This window comes from Homo sapiens, chromosome 15 (genome assembly GCF_000001405.40).
Source record: "Homo sapiens chromosome 15, GRCh38.p14 Primary Assembly".
Taxonomy (NCBI): Eukaryota; Metazoa; Chordata; class Mammalia; order Primates; family Hominidae; genus Homo; species Homo sapiens.
Genome location: NC_000015.10, coordinates 49,174,258 through 49,194,370, shown reverse-complemented (window position 1 = coordinate 49,194,370; position 20,113 = coordinate 49,174,258). Strand labels below are relative to the sequence as shown.

Sequence of the window (20,113 nt, the reverse complement as noted above, 5' to 3'; positions counted from 1 at the left end):
ATGGTGGCATCTCAAATCATGACACAAAGGTAAATTTTTTTTTTTTGAGACGTAGTCTCGCTCTGTTGCCTAGGCTGGAGTGCAGTGGCGGATCTCGACTCACTCCAACCTCCGCCTCCCTGGTTCAAGCAATTCTTCTGCCTCGGCCTCCCGAGTAGCTGCGACTACAGGTGCATGCCACCACGCCTGGATAATTTTTGTATTTTTAGTAGAGATGGGGTTTCACCATATTGGCCAGGCTGGTCTCGAACTCCTGACCACGTGATCTCCCCCACTCGGCCTCCCAAAGTGCTGGGATTACAGGCATGAGCCTCTGCACCCAGCCCACAAAGGTAAATTTTTAATAAAGAATGCTAGTACATCACACCTGTAATCCCAGCACATTTGGAGGCTGACGTGGGCGGATCACGAGGTCAAGAGATCGAGACCATCTGGCTAACACAGTGAAACCCCGTCTCTACTAAAAATACAAAAAATTAGCCGGGCGTGTTGGCACGTGCCTGTAATCCCAGCTACTTGGGAGGCTAAGCCAGAAGAGTCACTTGAACCCAGAAGGCACAGGTTGCCGTGAGCTGAGATTGCACCACTGCACTCCAGCCTGGGCAACAGAATGAGACTCCATCTCAAAAAAAAAAATAAAAATAAAAAAATAAAAAAACAGAATGCTAGTACAATTGGTTAGACTTCTGGGAAAAGGTAAAATTAGATCCATATCTTACACCATACACAATAATAATCTCCAAATGGATCAGGAGTCTAAATGTAAAAAAGAAACTACAGAAAACTAGAAGAAAACACAAGTGAATTTCAATATAATGCAGGCTTAAGGGAAAGGTTTTCTAATATGACTCAAAATAGAGGCAAATTTTTTTAATTTGATAGAGTTGACTATATAAAAATGTTTTAAAACATTTATGGCAAAAACACTACAAAATTTAAAAAACAACGCACAGAAAATAACATATATTGTAGATAAAGAGATAATATCCCTTACATTAAAAAAAAAAAGCCTCTTAAAAACCATGTGAAAAAGACCAAAGCCTTGATAGAAAAATGTGTAAAAGGTATAAACAGGTCGGGCATGGTGGCTCACGCCTGTAATCCCAGCACTTTGGGAGGCCAAGGCGAGTGGACTGCCTGAGGTCAGGAGTTCGAGACCAGCCTGGCTAACATGGTGAAACCCTGTCTCTACTAAAAATACAAAAATTAGCCAGGAGTGGTGGCACATGCCTGCAGTCCCAGCTACTTGGGAGGCTGAAGCAGGAGAATTGCTTGAACCCCGGAGGTGGAGGTTACAGTGAGCCAAGATTGTACCACTGCACTCCAGCCTGGGCAACAGAGCGAGATTCCATCAAAAAAAAAAAAAAAAAAAAGGTATAAACAGAAAATTCATAACAAAAGATAGTTTCATAATGACCCTAGGCCAGGCACAGTGGCCCACACCTGTAATCCCAGTACTTGGGGATGCCAAGGCAGAAGGATTGCTTGAGGCCAGGAGTTAGAGACTAGCTTAGGCCACATAGGGTGACCTGTCTCTAAAAGAAAAAATTTTTAAAAGGCCCTTAAACATATGAAAAGATGTTCAGCCTTAACTTTTAGATAGAAATACAAATTAAAACTACACTGAGATACTATCAGATGGTTAAAATTAAAAAGTAACAATGCATTCTGATGTTGAGGTTCTGGGTAAACAGGCACTCTTCTATTATATACTGTTTTGGGAATACAAATTTGGTACAACACTTTCAGAGGGGAACTGGGCATTGTCTAACAAAAATACATAGTCATTAATTTTTACCTAGCAATCCACTATCTAAGAATTTGCCCTGAAGATACACCTCCAACTATATATATATATATATATATATATATATATATATATATACATATATATATAATATTCATTGCAGAATAGTTTATAATCGCAAAATACTGGAAACAATCTAAACACTCTTACATAGGAGAATGTTTGAATAAATTCTGACTTGTTTCCAAAATGAAGTGCAATGAAACTGTTTAAAAGAATATCATTTCTAGAAATGTTGATCTAGCGACTTCCAGAAATACTATGTTAAAAGAAAAAAGCAAAGTGCTTTATCTGCTGAGATGGCCTGGGATAATTACTATCATATTAGCAATAAGCATCTCTAATGCCCAGATCTTTATTTCAAAAGAAATTACAGTTCCTTAAAGAAATGGCTGATTCCAGAACTGGAAAGAAACAACACAATATAAATCTGAAACATCTTTCTATACCAGAAAGTAAGGAAGTGCTCAATGATAGTGACATGTCGCAATGACACAGAAACCCACCTGAAGAGGTTCCCATTGCCCAAATCTGACCCTGAAACAATTGAGCATCAAAATAAATACAAAAATAATGGAAACATTAGAATCCATAGAATAAAATAAAAACCCGAGTCCATAGTGATATAAAAGGAAGAAAAGGAAAAGCATTTCCTTACAGTAGAATGCCAATTAATAAATTAAAAGTATGGAAAAAAAAAACACAGAAAATCACCACTTAGAGATCATTGTAGTAATAAGTGATTCAGGCAAGAATCAACAATGGATGCTAAAATCAGTAAATGAAAATTTGGTAAGAAATAGGATACCAATATATTCTCAAAGTTTTTCACCAAAAGATACTTATAAGTTACAGAAGAGAAAACAGTAACTGTACAGTGGAAAAACCAGCAGACACCTCCTTAAGTGATTTAGGTTAACAGAATTGGTGATGGGACATATACATCATGTGCCTTTTGATATGATGTACTAAAGAAACAAAATCACTTTTGTTGTATTCCTCCTAAAAATACATAAGCTGAATCTAACCATGAAGAAATATTACACAAACTCATTAAGGGAGAAATTTCTTTAAAGTATGTTAAATGAAAATTATAGGAGGCCATTGTTTTAGACTAAGCTGTTGCACTAGACCCAACAGACCAAACCAAAATGTAGTACTGGTACTAAAGTTCCACATCAGCAAACCAAAACTAAGTTGTTATCTGACTTTCCAAGAAATCAGGAGAGAGAGAGAGAGACAATAGCCAAATTTCCCAAACAGACCAGTCTCAGTCAGCGTAACAATAAAGTTCCCTCTGCCTTTAACAACAAAAAGTAACCTAAGTAGCCTGATGTTGACCAACCAGTTATTTTTGTATTATTTTTTTCCCTATTCCTCCCTTAATAGGAAATTAACATTAAAATGACCGATCCACTTTTTGTTCTTTTTTCTGCTTTTTTCAGCCCTTTGTCTATAAAACCAACCTCCGTTTAGCCCATTGGAACACTTATTCTATTTTATAGAATGAAGTGCTGCCCAATTCTAGAACTGCAAATAACACCAAGTAAGGTCTTTAAACTGTTAAAAGAAAAACTTCAGTCAAGTTAAATTTAAAGGGGTTTAACTGAGCAATGAACAATTCATGAATTGGACAGCCCCCAGAATCACAGTAGATTCAGAGAGACTCCAGGGATGCCTCATGGTCAGAACAAATTTATAGACAAAAAAAGGGAAGTAACACAGAAATCAGAAGTGACATACAGAAACAACTGAATTCCTTACAGTTCCACATTTGCCTTATTCGAACACAGTTTGAACACTCAGGAGTGTATGACTGGTTGAAGTACGGCTGCTGGGATTGGCCAAGAATCAACTACTGTTACAGGAGCATCCTCTTAAGTTAGGTTTTCAGTCTTGTCTACCTTTTAAGTTAGGTTGCAGTTCATCCACAAGGACTCAAATATAGAAGTAGAGAGGCCTCCTCAGGCCATATTTAATTTGCTTTAACAAAACTAAATTTGTTGTGCTTTTGTCTTTTGACAAATATCATCATGACATATAAAATGAACATATGTTAAAGATTTTATTTATCTCAGTAATTAATGACAGAACTGGTAAGATGTTATAACCAATCAGAAAAAAGAATCCAAAGTCTCACCCATATACAGTAAAATAAGGAATGGCCAATATGCATTTAGAAATATATACAAAAAAAATTGAAAACATTAACAGCCAGGGGGCAATCAGTTGCATTCCACCAGACGCAATTTGCGATTTCTATGGAAAAAAAAAATCATTTGCATTGCTATCAGTTTTATATGACCTATAGAGTTGTAAAATACCATGAATCCATGAATACAATGAAAGCCTCAGAACTCACATAGAAATCGGATAATTTGAAAGGGTATACTAGAAAACTTCTAGTTTTCCTTTGAAGATACCTGATAATCTTTTGGTCCATTTCGAAGTTTTTCACAATTTTCCCTAAAACTCAAACTGAGGAATATTCTATAAAATAGCTGCTCATAAAACACATAGAAAGGCTGAGGAAGTATTCCACAATAAAAAAGATTAAAGAGGCAATAAGTAAGTATAGTATACATCCTAGATTGGATCTTGAAACACGAAAAAATATAGCAGTCCACCCTTATTTGTGGTTTTGTTTTCTGTGGCTTCGGTTATCTGCTGTCAACCATGGTCTGAAAATATTAAATGGAAAAATACAGAAATAAACAACTCCTAAGTTTTAAATTGCACACTATTCTGAGTAGCATAATAAAATCTCACACTGTCCCATTTTGCCCTGCCCAGGTCATGAGTCTTCCCTTTGTCCAGCATATCCACACTATATATGCTACCCACCCACTAGTCACTTGGTAGTCATCTCATTATCAGCTTGACTCTGTATTGTCTCTATATTGCAGTGCTTGTGTTCAAGTAACCATAATGTTATGTAATAATGACCCCAAAGCCTATGAGTAGTGATGTTGGCATACTGTTAAAATTGTTCTATTTTATTTCTAGTTATTATTGTTAATCTCTTGCTATGCCTAATTTATAAATTAAACTTTATCATAGGTATTTATATATAGGAAAAAAGCAAATAGCATATATAGGATTCGGTACTATCTGTGGTTTCAGGCATCTACTGAGGGGTCTTGGGATGTATCCACCAACGTATGCTGTATTTTGCTATAAAGAACATTAGTAGGATAACTGGTAACACTTCAGGTCTGTAATTAGAGAATACTGTTCTATCAATGTTAATTTCCTAATTTTAATCATTATGCTACGATTATATAAAAGAATGTCCTTGTGTTTAGGAAATACGCATTCAAGTATTTAAGGTTAAAAGAGCATGTTAAATAAAATTTATGGAAGACCATTGTTTTGGGCTGAGTTCCTCCACTAGGCCCCAGTAAGCCAAACCAAAATGGAGTCATTCATGCTAAAGTTCCACATCACCAAACCAAAACTAAATTATTTATCTGATCTATAAAAAAGCAGGGGATACATGGTAGCCAAATTCCTAAACAGGCCAGTTTTAGCCTGCATGGTAAGGAAGTCCCCTCTGTTTTAACCCTTACAAGAAAAAGAACCTTAAGTAACCTGATGTTAACATAATAATCTGCTTTTTATTATGCTGTTTCCTTGTGCTTCTTCAAGCTATTTTGTGAAAACCAACTGTTCTGCCATGCCTAGCCTAGCACCTCTCTATTTTTACATGCTGCCCAATTCAGGAATTGAAAATAATAATAAAAGCTGATTACAGCATTTAATTAAATTAGTTGAGATTTTGTCTTCTACCAGGAATCAGGTCCTCAACTTAATCTCAAACTGTTCAGGAAAAAAATTATAAGGGGATAGGAGCAAGATAACCAAATAGAACCCTCTAGGGATCATCCTCCTGCAGAAATACCAAGTTGAACAACTATCTATCCACAGAAGAAAGCACCTTCTTAAGAACCCAAAATCAGGTGAGTAATCACAACATCTGGTTTTAAAATCATGTCAAGGAAAGAGATACTGAAGACGGTTGGAAAGATAGTCTTGAATCATTGACACCACCACTCTCTTAACCCCCAGCAATGGTGGTGGCCATGTAGCATGGAGAGAGAAGCTGTGCACATGGAGGAGTACAGTGATTATGGGGCTTTGCTTTGGAATTCAGTGCTGTCTTGTAACAGTAGAAAGTAACACAGTGCAGAAATCAGCCAGTGCCCATGGAAGCAGCATTTAGACCAGCCCTAGCTAGAGGGAAATTGCCCATCCCAGCAGCCTGAAAGTAAGTTCTGGCTAGCCCAACCACCATGGGCTAAAGCACAACAGGTTCCTAAACAAATCTGAAAGGCACTCTAAGCCTTTATAAGGCTGTAAACCCTGACAACATTTCTACACATCCTGGACCAGAGGGGAATCTACTGCCTTGAAGAGAAAGAACTAGTCCTGGGAGAATTCATCACCTGCTGACTAAAGAGCTGTCAGACCTTGAATAACCATCAGTGGTTGCCAGGCAGTACTTGTCATAGGCCTTGGGTGACCCTGTGCATTCCCAGTGTGTTGGCCATGGAAAGAGACTCGTTCTGCTTGAGGAAAGAAGGAAGATTAACGGGAACTTTGTCCTGAAGCATGGGTACCAGCCTGGTTACTGTGATGCAGACCACCCAAGGACTCCTGGGGTCCACAATTCTAGGACTTGGCTCCTGGATGGCATTTTTGGACTCATGCTGGACCAGAGAGGAGCTCACTACCCTGAAGGGAGCATCCCAGGCCCAGGAGCATGTACTACAAGCTGACAGAAGAGCCCTTGGGTAAACAGTGGGAGCCAGGCAGTAAACATCAGCAATAACCAGGCATTACTCACTACAGGCTGGGGGAGGTGGCTACAGGGAAATACTTCTGCTTAAGAAAAGAGGAGGGAAGAGTGGGAAAGACTTTCTCTTGCAGCTTGGGTGCCAGCTCAGCCACAGTGGAATAGAGCACCAAGTAGATTCCTAAGGTTCCTTACTCTATGCCCTGACTCCTAGACAGCATTTCTGGACCAATCCTGGGCTTAGGGGGAGCTCATCACCCTAAAGAGAAAGCCACAAGTCTGGCTGGGTTTGCCACCTGCTTGGGCCTTGAGGGAGCATCAGTGGTAACCATGACATGGTTTCTGCAGGCCTCAGGCAAGACCCAGTGCTGTGTGAACTTTGGGTCTGACCCAGTGCAGTCCCACTGACAGTGGCCACAAGTCTACTTGTGTCTCCCATCCCCTAACTCCAGGAAAATCAGTATGGAGAAAGAAATTCTCTTTGGGGGAAAATGATGGTAAAGATTTAAAGACTCTGCCTGGTAATCCAGGGAATTCTCCCAGATCTTACCCAACACCACCAAGGCAGTACCTCTACAAGAAGGCAAGAGACACAGTGTTACTGGGTGTGGGGTACCCCCTAATAAAGATATAGCTGCAGTGACCAAAGACTTAGATCGTAATACTCAATTCCCTTCAAATACCTAGAAAGCCTGCCCCAAAAGGATACAAATAAATCCAGACTGCAAAGACTACCATAATACTTGAGTCTTCAATGTCCAGACATCAGTGAACATCCACAAGCATCAAGACCATCAAGGAAAATATGACATCACCAAATCAACTAAATGAGGCACCAGTGGCCATTCCCAGAGTGGCAGGGACAAGTGACCTTTTATACAGAGAATTCAAAATAACTGTTTTGAGGAAGCTCAACAAAATTCAGGATAACAGACCAGGCGCAGTGGCTCACACCTGTAATCCCAGCACTTTGGGAGGCCAAGGTGGGCGGATCATGAGGTCAAGAGATTGAGACCATCCTGGCCAACATGGTGAAACCCTGTCTCTACTAAAAATACAAAAATTAGCTGGGTGTGGTAGTGCACACCTGTAGTCCCAGCTACTCGGAGGTTGAGGCAGGAGAATCATTTGAACCCGGGAGGCGGAGGTTGCAGTGAGCTGAGATTGCACCACTGCACTCCAGCCTGACGACAGAGTGAGACTCCATCTCAAAAAAAAAAAAAAAAGAAAAAAATTCAGGACAATACAGAGAAAAAATTCAGAATCTTATCAGATAAATTTAACAAATACATTAAAATAATTTAAAAGAATCAAACAGAAATTCTAGAGTGAAACACTCAATTGAAATACTGAAGAATGCATCAGAGTCACTCAATAGCAGAATTGATCAAGTAGAAGAAAGAATTAGTGAGCTTGAAGACAGGGTATTTGAAAATACACAGTGAGAGGACACAAAAGAAAAAAGAATAAAAAAGAATATAGCATGCCGACAAGTTACAGAAAATAGCCTGTAAAGGGCAAGTCTAAGATTTATTGGCCTGAAAAAGCATAGAGAGTGAGAGAGACTGGGATAGGACGTTTATTCAAAGGGATAATAAAAGAGAACTTTATAAACCTAGAGAAATATATCAATATTCAAGTACAAGAAGGTTATGGAACACCAAGCAGATTTAACACAAATAAGACTACCTCAAGACATTTAATAATCAAACTCCCAAAGGTCAAGGATAAAGAAAGGATCCTAAAAGCAGGAAGAGAAGAGAAACCAGTAACATATAAAGGAGCTCCATTACAACTGTCAGCACACTTCTCAGTGGAAACCTTACAGGCTAGGAGAGAATGGCAAGACATACTTAAAGTGCTGAAAGAAAAAAATGTTTACCCTAGAATAGTATATCCAGCAAAAATATCCTTCAAACATGAAAAAGAAACAAAGATTTTCTGAGACAGACAAAAACTGCTATCACTGACAGCAGACATATCCTACAAGAAACGCTGAAGAAACTTCAAACTGAGAGAAAAGGTTGTTAATAAGCAATAAGAAATCATCTGAAGAAATGCAAATCAAAACCAAAACCACAATGAGATACCCACCTTACACTAGTCAGAATGGCTGTTACCAAAATGTGTCAAAAACTAACAGATGCTGATGAGGCTGCAGAGAAAAAGGGGACATTTATACACTGTTGATGGAAATGTAAATTAGCCAGTGTCTGGAGTTTCTTCAAAGAACTTAAAACAGACCTACCATTTGACCCAACAATCCCATTACTGGGTATACATCCAAAGGAAAATAAATCATTCTACCAAAAAGACAAATGTACTCATATGTTCATTGCTGTGCTATTCACAATAAGAAAGACATGGAATCAAACCCAGGTGCCTATCAATGGTAGACTGGATAAAGAAAATGTGGCACATAAACACCCTGTAATACTACACAGCCATAAAAAAGAGTAATACCATATTCTTTGCAGTAAAATGGTTGCAGTGGAAAGCCATTATCCTAAGCAAATAAACACATAAACAGAAAACAAAATATCACATGTTCTTACTTATGAGTAAGAGCTAAACATTGAGCACACATGAACATAAACATGGAAACAAAAGACACTCCAGACTACTAGAGAGAGGAAAGGAGGAGTGGGGTATGGGTTGAAAAACTATCAGGTACTATGCTTATTACCTGAATGACAGGATACAGGCCCCAAACCCCAGCATCACACAATATTCCCATATAACAAAGGTGCACATGTACCCACATATCAACAGTAGAAGTTAATTTTTTTAAAAAAGAAATCATCTGAAGATAGAAAATTCACTGGTAATAAGAAGGACACAAACACAGAACATTGTAACACTATAATTGTGGCATGTATACTACTTATATCTTGAGTAGAAAGACTAAAACATGAACCCATCTAAAATAATAACTACAATAACTTCTCAAGACATAGACAATAAGATATGAATAAAAACAACAAAAACTTAAAAAAGAAGGTAGATGAAGTTGAAGTGTTATTAGTTTTCTCTTTTCTCGTTTGTTTCTTTTTGTAATTGGTGTTAATATCAGTTTAAAACAATGGGTGATAAGATGTTATTTGCAAGCCTCATGGTAACCTCAAATAAAAAACACAAAACAGATACACAAAAAATAAAAAGCTAGAAATTAGAAACCAGAGAAAATCACCTTCACAAACAGCAAGACAGGAAGGAAGGAAGAGAAGACTACAAAACAACAAGAACACCATAATAAAATGGCAGAAAAGTCCTTACTTATCAACAATAACATTGAACGTAAATGGACTCAGCTCTCCAGTCAAAGGACATAGAATGGCTGAATGGATTAAAAACAAAACAAAATCCAATGATCTGTTGCCTACAAGCAACAAACTTCACCTCTAAAGACACACATAGACTGAAAAAGAAAACAGATGAAAAAAGATATTCCATGCCAATGGAAACCAAAAAAGAGCAGGTGTAGCTATACTTATATCACACAAAATAGATTTCCAAAAAAAAAACTATAAGAAGAGAAAAAGAAGGTCATTATATAATGATAAAAGGGGTCAATTCAGCAAGAGAATGTAACAATTGTAAATATATATGCACCTTATACTGGAGCATCCAAATATATAAAACAAATATTATCAGAGCTAAAAAGAGAGATAGGCCCCAAAACAATAATAGCTGGAGACTTCAACACTCCACTTTCAGCATTGGACAGATCATCCAGACAGAAAATCAACAAAGAAACATGAGACGTAATCTGCACTATAACAAATGGACCTAATAATAGTTATTTACAGAACATTTCATCCAACGGTGGCAGAATACACATTCCTCTCCTCAGCACATGGTTCATTCTCAAAAACAGACCATATGTTAGGCCACAAAACTAGTCCTTTTTTTTTTTTTTTTTTCTGAGACAAAGTTTCATTCTTGTTGCCCAGGCTGGAGTGCAATGGTGTGATCTTGGCTCACCACAACCTCTGCCTCCCGGGTTCAAGCCATTCTCCTGCCTCAGCCTCCCAAGTAGCTGGGATTACAGGCATGTGCCACCACGCCTGGCTAATTTTGTATTTTTAGTAAAGTCAGGGTTTCTCCACGTTGGTCAGGCTGGTCTCAAACTCCCGACCTCAAGTGATCCGCCCGCCTTGGCCTCCCAAAGTGCTGGGATTACAGGCGTGAGCCACCACGCCCAGCCAAAACTAGTCTTTAAAAATTCAAAAAAATGAAATCATATCATGTATCTTTTCTGAAAACAATGGAATAAAACTAGAAATCAATAAGAGGAACTTTAGAAACTATACAAACACAATTAAACAATATGTTCCTGAATGACCAGTAGGTCAATGAATAAGTTAAGAAGAAAATTTAAAAATTTCTTGAGACAAATAAAAATGGAAACACAACACAGCAAAACCTTTGGGTTACAGTGATGGAATGCTAAGAGAAAAGTTTATAGAAATAAATGCCCATGTCAAAAAAGTAGAAAAACACCAAATAAATGACCTAATGATGCATCTAAACATGGAAAGACAAGAGAAAGCCAAACCCGAAATTAGTATAAGAAAAGAAATAATAAAGATGAGAGCAGAAATAAATGAAATTAAAGCAAAAAATACAGAAGATAAACAAAAGGAAAAGTTAGTATTTTGAAAAGATAAACAAAAAACATTGGGGAAACATCCAGGACATTGGTTTGAGCAAAGATTTTTTTTGTCTAATGTCCTAAAAGTAAAGGCTACCAAAGCAAAAATGGACAAATCAGATCACATCAAGTTAAAAAGCTTCTGCACAGCAAAGGAAAAAAATCAATGCAGTGAAGAGACAACCTACAGAATGAGAAAAAATATTTGCAAACTATCTGACTGGGATTAAAAACCAGAAAATGTAATGAGCTTAAACAATGTAATAGGAAAAAATGTAATAATTCAATTCAAAAATGGGCAAAAGATCTGAATAAACATTTTTCAAAAGACATAAAAATGGCAAACAGGTATATGAAAAAGTGATTAACATCACTGATAGTCAGAGAAATGCAAATTAAAACTGCAATAAGATAACATCTCACCCAAGCTACAATGGCTTTTATCCAAAAAAAAGATAATAGCAAATGCTGGTAAGGATGTGGAGAAAAGAGAACCCTCATACACTGTTGGTGGAAATGTAAATTAGTACAACCACTACCGAGAACAGTTGAGAGGTTCTTCAAAAAATTAAAAATAGAACTACCTTATGATCCAGGAATCCCACTGCTAGGCATATATCCAAAAGGAAATCGGTGTATTGAAAAGACACCTGCACTCCATGTTTATTGCAGTACCATTTACAATAGCCAAGATTTGGAGGCAACCTAAGTGTCCAGCAACAGATAAATGAATAAAGAAATGTGGCATATACACACAATGGAGTACTACTCAGCCGTAAAAAAGAATGAGATCCTGTCATTTGCAGCAACATGGATGGATCTGGGGGACATTATGTTAAGTGAAACAAGTCATGCACAGAAATACAAACTTCATACGTTCTCACTCATCTGCAGGAGCTAAAAATTAAAACAATTGAACTCATGGAGAAAGAGAGTAGAATGATGGTTACCAGAGGTTGCGAAGGGTAGCAGAGATGAGGGAGTGGGGATGGTTAATAGGTACAAAAATGAAGTTAGATAGAATGAATAAGATCTACTATTTGACAGCATAACAGTTATTATAGTCAACAAAAATTTATTTTACATTTTATAATAACTAAAAGATTATCATTGGAAAGTTTATAACACAAAGAAATGATAAATGCTTGAGGTGATGCATACCCTATTTACCCTGATGGGATTATTATACATTGTATGCCTGTATCAAAATATCTCATGTACCCCATAAATATATACATCTATATTATGTACCCATAAAAAATAAAAATTAAAAAAAATTAAAACAGAGATAGAGAATGATAAAGCAAATGTGGTAAAATGTTAAGTTTGGGGAATTTGGGAGAGGAATATACAGTACTTTTTTCAATTATTATTTGATTTTTCTATAAGTCTAAAAATATTTCAAAATAAAAAACTATTTTTTTTAAATACAAAAATTAGCCAGGCATGGTGGCGGGCTCCTGTAATCCCAGCTACTCGGGAGGCTGAGGCACAAGAATCGCTTGAACCCAGGAGGTGGAGGCTGCAGTGAGCCGAGATCGTGCCACGGCACCACTGCACTCCAGCCTGGGCAACAGAGTGAGACTCTGTTCCAAAAAAAAAAAAAAAAAAAAGTCTTTTTTTTAAAAAAGAAACATTTACTGATGCTTTACTAAGTACTCTTTGAAAGGAGATGAATAAGAATCCTTGGCCTTAAGAAATTTAAAAGTTGGCCAGGTGCAGTGGCTCATGTATGTAATCCCAGCACTTTGGGAGGCCAAGGCAGATCACTTAAGCTCAGGAATTCCAGACCAGCCTGGGCAACAAGGCAAAACCCCATCTCTACAAAAAATACAAAAAATTAGCTGGGCACCATGGCACATGCATGCCTGTAGTCCTAGCTACTCAGGAGGCTGAAGTGGGAGAATCACCAGAAAGTCAAAGCTGCAGTGAGCCATAATTGTGCCACTGCACTTCATTCTGGGCAACAGAGTGAGACCCTGTCTCAAAAGAAAGAAGAGGAGATGAGGGGAGGGGGGAGGGAAGAGGAAGGAAAGAAAAGGAAGGAAAGGGAGGGAGGGAGGGAAGGAAGGAAGGAAGGAAGGAAGGAAGGATTGGTCTAGCAAAAGAGGAAAATAGGTAAGCCAAAATTCACAATACAGGGGGACAATACAGAGTGATAAGTCGGCCAAATACAGTCCTTTGGGAGCACAGAGAAACATCATTTAGTCCCTGCTATGACAGAATATGATATGAGCCGTAAGATAAATCAAAAAGAGGGAAGGTACATTAAAGGATCCCCAAAGAGGTAATGTTTGAAATAAATTTTAAAGGATGATGTCAGACAGGTGGGGTACGGTGAAGCATTCTAGGCAATTGACATGAAAAGGCCCAAGCATACAGCATTCAGAAAACTACAATTAGGTATCTAAAAACATCAGAAGAGAAAAGGAGGGGAGGAGGTTGGAGGATATCAAGTCTCAGATCTTAAAGGGCCTTATGCCATATTGAGAAACCTGGCTTTTAACATACAGGCAATGGATGTGAACAGATGTTTAAAAATGAAGTAAATCATCAATTTTGCATTTGAAAAAGCTCACTGGGTAGTGTGTGGAATTCGGATTGTAGAAATAAAGAGATCTAATAGCAGTTCATTGTAATATATCTAGAGAGAAATGCTGAAAGTACTTCAAAGCTATAGGTAGAGAAGGGTGAAATTAAGGTGATATTTGAAATGTCAAATCCAAAGGAATTGGTACAATTAAATGTGGGAAAAAGAGCAATAAGTACAACTCCCACTTTGCTGGTTTAGATAATCCTGCTAGCCTTAATAGGGGTTAATGTTTCTGCCTGTGAAAATCATATACAGATGAAATTCAAGTTTTCCTGAACTTGAATCCTTATTAATTTGTTTTTATAAGGACTGCAAACACAAATAACATGAAGTGCTAACAGCAGAGTTAGAATAAGTCTCCTAAAATGTGTCTTAATGAAATTATTTTGAATTATAAAACTTTGTCATTTTCCTAGACTTCCTTGGGAAGGCAGTCTGTTCATGGCTTATAACTGCTTCAGTACCAAGAGGCTTACTATACAACATTCCTACCTTAGAAATTCAAATGCATGGAGGCTATAAAAGGAAACAAGGAAGGCATTTTTCTCTAAGAACAGAAAGAACTGAAGTGTACAGTGTTTTTCTAAACTTCATACCTAACCCTCTAATAATGAATGGTAGGGCTGTAATTGGGGGAAGTAGCTGTATTTTACCTCTAGGTGAGCTACCAACAAGACCTTGTGTCTTAATGCAGTCACTGAAAGTATGCCCCCCAAAAAATACAATGAGCATTTCAATATGAAAATAAGAGCTCCTACAAAGATCATACTGTTAAATGGGGAATTGGCCAAAGTATTGCAGCACAAATTGCTGACTCTGGTGCTCTGAATGCTCTTTTGACTTAAAATCTTAAAAAAAAAAAAAAAAAAGAAAGAAACAAAGAAAAAAGAACAGCAGTATTAGTAACAGAACTTGAGAAACAAAGCTATGACTGTTGTGAATGAAATGGACTTTAATAAAAGGACTGATTCTCTCAGACCGTGTGGCTAACTGCAGAAATGAATGAATTAAAATTTCAGGAGCTATGACATGTATTTTCAGTCTTCCACTGTGACCTTGGGCAAGTCCCCCATCCTGTCTGTGCTTGTTTTCTCTTCAATATCAGGATATCGAGTCATGGCATTATAGAAAATGTTAATTTTTAATACTAATTTAAGAACAATTGGTTATAACATGAATTTTTATGTTAATTTGTATGAGTTGCTCCATGCCTCAATTTTCCTCATCTACAAACTGAGGCTAATACTAGAACTCACTGCAAAGGTTTGTTTGAGGGTTTTATAAGTATAAAATAATTATTAGTTATTACTATTATTACTGTTATATTTGAGAATTTAATATATGTTAGAGATGGAATTTCAAAGATTGGTAATTACCATTGGGAAAGGAGGGTGAATTTGAATCTCTGTTTTGTTCCTTTCATCACAATAAATTTCTCCAAGATCAAAAATTAAACATAAAAACAAAATTAAAATTATATTAGAGATCTTAGAAAACGAGGTTATGATGGTGAAAATAAAAATAGTAGATAGGTTGAATAGAAGAATGAAAAGAGTTAAAGAGCAAATTAATGAGCAAGAAGCTGAAGGAAAGTGGAAATTAAGGCCACAGCTATAGCTATTTTGAAAATAATAATGAGAGGTCTACATATCAAAACCCATGAGGCACAACCGTAATAGCACTCAGAAAATTTTCTAGCCTTCTATTCATATAAGAAAATAAATAATGGGGGAGAAAGGCTCTTTCCTTTCCGTCTGGCAACAGCCATCAGGTAAGCCAAGATAACTGCATACAAGTACATTCAGGAGCTGTGGAGGAAGCAGCAGTCTGATACCATGCACTTTCTTCGGAGAGTCCCTGCTAGCAGTACTGACAGCTCTCTGCTCTACCACAGGGCTCCACATCCCACCCAGCCCAAAAAAGTGCACCGACAGGGCTACAAGGCCAAGCAAGTTTACGTTATATATAGGATTCGTGTGCACCATGGTGGCCGAAAATGCCCAGTTCCTAAGGGTGCAGCTTATGGCAAGCCTGTCCACTGTGGTGTTAACCAGCTAAAGTATGCTTGAAGTCCATTGAAGACGAGAAAGCTGGACGCCACTGTGGGGTTCTAAGAGTCCTGAATTCACATATATATATATATGTACATATATATACATGTATACATGATATACATGTACATCATGTATATATGTACATACATATATGTGCATACATATATGTACATGTATATATGATATACATGTACATATATTTTTATTTATACATATAGACATATTTATACATTTTATTTCTATATATATATATATATATATATATATATATAGTATTTCTTTTTTTTTTTTTTTTTTTTTGAAACAGAGTCTTGCTCTGTCACCCAGGCTGGAGTGCAGTGGCACAATCTCACTCACTGCAACCTCTGCCTCCTGGGTTCAACTAATTCTCATGCCTCAGCCTCCCAAGTAGCTGGGATTATAGGTGTGCGCCACCACACCCAGCTAATTTTTGTAATTTTGTAATTTTTGTTTAGTAGAAACGCGGTTTCACCATGTTGGCCAGGCTGGTCTCGAACTCCTGGCCTCAAGTGATCCACCCAACTTGGCCTCCCAAAGTGCTGGGATTACAGGTGTGAGCCACCATGCCCGGCTAAGAGTCCTGAGTTCTCACTTCGGTGAAGATTCAACATACAAAATGTTTGAAGTTATCCTCATTCATCCACTCCATAATGCTGTCAGAAAAAATCCTGCCACCCAGTGGATCACCAAACCAGTCCACAAGCAAAGGGTGATGCATGGGCTGACATCTGCAGGCCGAAAGATCCGTGGCCTTGGTAGGGTCATAAGTTCCACCACACTCCTGGTGATTCTCACTGTGCATCTTGGAAAAGGCACAATACTCTCCAACTCCACCGTTACCACTAATGTAAGTAATGTTTGTAAAGTTGATACCTAAAAAACAATTTAGGACAGTCATGTCTGCTTACAAGTATTATTTGTCTGTTAAAACTAGTCTGTAGATTATTTCATGAATTCTTTGTCAAATTATGACAGTTAAAGTGCAATAATGTTTGAAAACTATAAGTGATGATGTCTCTTGTTTCTAGTAAGATAAACTTTTTTGTCTTTGCTTTATCTGATTAGGGAGTTATCTGGCAGTGTTTAAAACATACTGTGTGATACAATAGGTTTAACATAAATTATTTAAAAGAAAAAAAGAAAATAAATAATGAAAATAAATAAAGTATGCATATAACATAGGAACCTAGCAAAAAGTAGTTAAATAAATTAGAAGAAGCAAATTAACAGATAAAAGCAAAATTTATTGAACCAGGGGAAAATAGCAGATTGGATAAAAAAATTACAAGGTGGTTCTTCAATTTAAAAAAATATATAGAAAAAGAACTTTGAGTGTCATTAAACATAATCAATACTAGAAATAATAGACAAACATAAATTTTAAAAAGATTTAAAAATTTTTAAATGGCTGATTTTTCTAGAAAAAATACAAATTTCTAAAATTGACACAAGAGTTTAAAAATAAAGAAATAGAAAAGTTGTCAGAAACAAAGCCCAAAAAGTGTTACAACAAGTTGGTTGGACCTTCAAGGAAAAAGTGGTATTTTCTTTTTATAAATGGTTCTAAATAATAGAAGCTGTGGAAAGTTTCCCATCTCATTTTAGGAGGCTGGTCTAACCCAGATGCTTACATTTGACAAGAATGGCCCTCAAAAGCAAACTATAGGCTAATCTCACTTGTGGAAATAGATAGAAAAACCCTAAATAAAATGTCGGTAAATTTAATGCAGTAATTACCTAAAATAACCTATGTGACCAAGCAGAGTTCATTCCAGGAATATGAAGGTAATCAGCACCAGAAATCTGTTGATTAAATGAACTATGCTAACAGAATAAAAAGAAGAAAATTCTATGACTTCATGATCCTCTCAAAAAATCCAAATAAGAAACAAATGTATTTTCATAGCCATTCCTTATTTTTAAAAATAAAATATAAAATTTTTTAAATCTCTGTCATGCGTTGATCTAAAGACAAAAAAAGTGAGGCAAACTTAATACAGAGTTTATTTGGGCCAAGTTTGAAGATTGCAACCCAGGAACATAGATTCAAGTTAACATGAATATACCCTCTGATTAGCAGTAGTTACTAGTGGTTTTTAAAGGAAAAAAATGGGGTGGTTCCTAACTTGTTTACCAAGAATTTACATTAAAATAGCATAACCTATTGATTGGCTGTACTTTGTATCACAGATTACAGGAACATCAAGATAACAGGGGAAGCAGGAACAGGGGAAGTCAGGAACAAAAGGTCTTTAAATGATTGCCCCCTGGCACATGGGTGCAAGGAGGGCGAGGGATGTGACTAAAGTGCCATATTCATGTCTCTCTGGGCCTGATAAATCTTTGCATATCTCACATTGTAGCAGGACAAGCCACAGACAAAACCCCTCAGACACCAAGTTAAAGAAGGAAGGGGTTTATTCAGCCGGGAGCATCAGCAAGACTCCTGTCTCAAGAGCCGAGCTCCCCGAGTGAGCAATTCCTGTCCCTTTTAAGGGATCACAACTCTAAGGGGGTCCACATGAGAGGGTCATGATCGATTGAGCAAGCAGGGGGTACTTGACTGGGGGATGCATACACTGGTAATTAGAAGGGAACAGAACAGGACAGGGATCTTCACAGTGCTTTTTTATGCAAGTAACTGATAAGGTCAGGGGTTGATCTTTAACTACCAGGCCCAGGGTGTGGCACTGGGCTGTCTGCTTGTGGATTTCATTTCTGCCTTTTAGTTTTTACTTCTTTTTTTGGAGGCAGAAATTGGGCATAAGACAATATGAGAGGTGGTCGCCTCCCTTAACATACCTCAGATGGCTCAGAGCTATTTTTCTTTTCTCACCTACTAGAAAAGGGCATGTCCTTAATTTAATAAAGGATGTTTACCAGAAACAGCAAACATCATATTTGATGGCAAAATATTAGAAGCATTCCCATTTGTGATCTGAGAAACTTAAGTAGATGTCCCTTTATCAGGTAAGGGGGACTCTAAAGTTAAGGTAACAAAAGTTACAGGTCGAGGTGTAACAACTTCCTAAATTCTCATGGCTACAAGTAAAACCACTCTCTTGCTAAACCCCCTAGCAATAGCAGCTATTGGACACCTCCTAACTCTGACTTATGATCCAGGCCACTACAACTCTGATTGGACAGAGGACCAGCCTTACAAACATTCTTTTCTGATAAACAACTGCAGACCTTAAGCTAGTTTCAGCCAGCCTATAAAGGCTGTGCACTAACTGTCTTTGTGTCCTATAGCTCACCTTGTTATGTGAGCCAAATTCCACCTCATTTTAATGCTAAAACCTGCCACGAAGGGAACATGGGATGTATGTTACATATATGTTTACCCACTGCGCATGTGCTTGGCTCCCCTCATAAATATGTATAGCTTTTCCCCAAAACCTACTGAATATGTATGACTCTATTGTATAAGACAGACTCTGTGGGGCCTAAAACCCAAACTTCCTCTTCCCTACTCGAAGTTAGAACACCTTCAGTCCACACTGCAGACTCTCTCTTCTGGTCTACAAACTGATAGTGCCAATAAAGCTCTTCTTTCTACTATCTCACCATTCTGGTGGTCATTTGGATGACATATTAAAATAAGGGTGAAGACAAAGATGCTATCATCATTATTATTCAACATACTACAATGCATAAATTATAAAATGTCTACATAAGATGTCATAAAGTTAAACTAGAAACTATATTTATAATATATATAGAATAAATGGTTTCTATTAAAAATACATACAAATACAAAAATACACACATATAAAAAGAGTTTCTAAAAATAACAAGAAATAGGCCAAGTGCTGTGGCTCATGCCTGTAATCCCAGCACTTTGGGAGACCAAGGCAGGCAGATCACGAGGTCAGGAGTTCGAAACCAGCCCGGCCAACATAGTGAAACCCTGTCTCTACTAAAAATACAAAAATTAGCCTGGCGTGGTGGTGAGCACCTGTAGTCCCAGCTACTTGGGAGGCTGAGGCAGGAAAACTGCTTGAACCCGGCAAGTGGTGGTTGTGGTGAGCCGAGTTCATGACACTGCACTCCAGCCTGGGCAACAGAGTGAGACTGTCTCTTAAAAACAAAACAAACAAACAAAAAAGCAAGAAATAGGCAATCCAATAACATCTTTTTTGCAGGGCCATTTGACAGGAGCTATCAACATTTTAAATGTTTATTACCT

General features: G+C 37.4%; 1 protein-coding gene and 1 pseudogene across 15 annotated transcripts in view, besides 1 other annotated feature; one reads left to right on the top strand and one right to left on the bottom strand.

The window, feature by feature from the left end:
• GALK2 (galactokinase 2) overlaps window positions 1-20,113 on the bottom strand; it is a 211,967-nt gene that overhangs the window by 173,370 nt on the left and 18,484 nt on the right. The window lies entirely within an intron of this gene.
• Window positions 3,551-3,610: a silencer, noted in NCBI's record as "silent region_6422". NCBI's record gives its function as "represses an Ori minimal core promoter by ATAC-STARR-seq in GM12878 lymphoblastoid cells {active_cell/tissue: GM12878}" and the evidence as "EXISTENCE:reporter gene assay evidence [ECO:0000049][PMID:35858748]".
• On the top strand, window positions 15,579-17,070 carry RPL15P19 (RPL15 pseudogene 19; annotated as a pseudogene).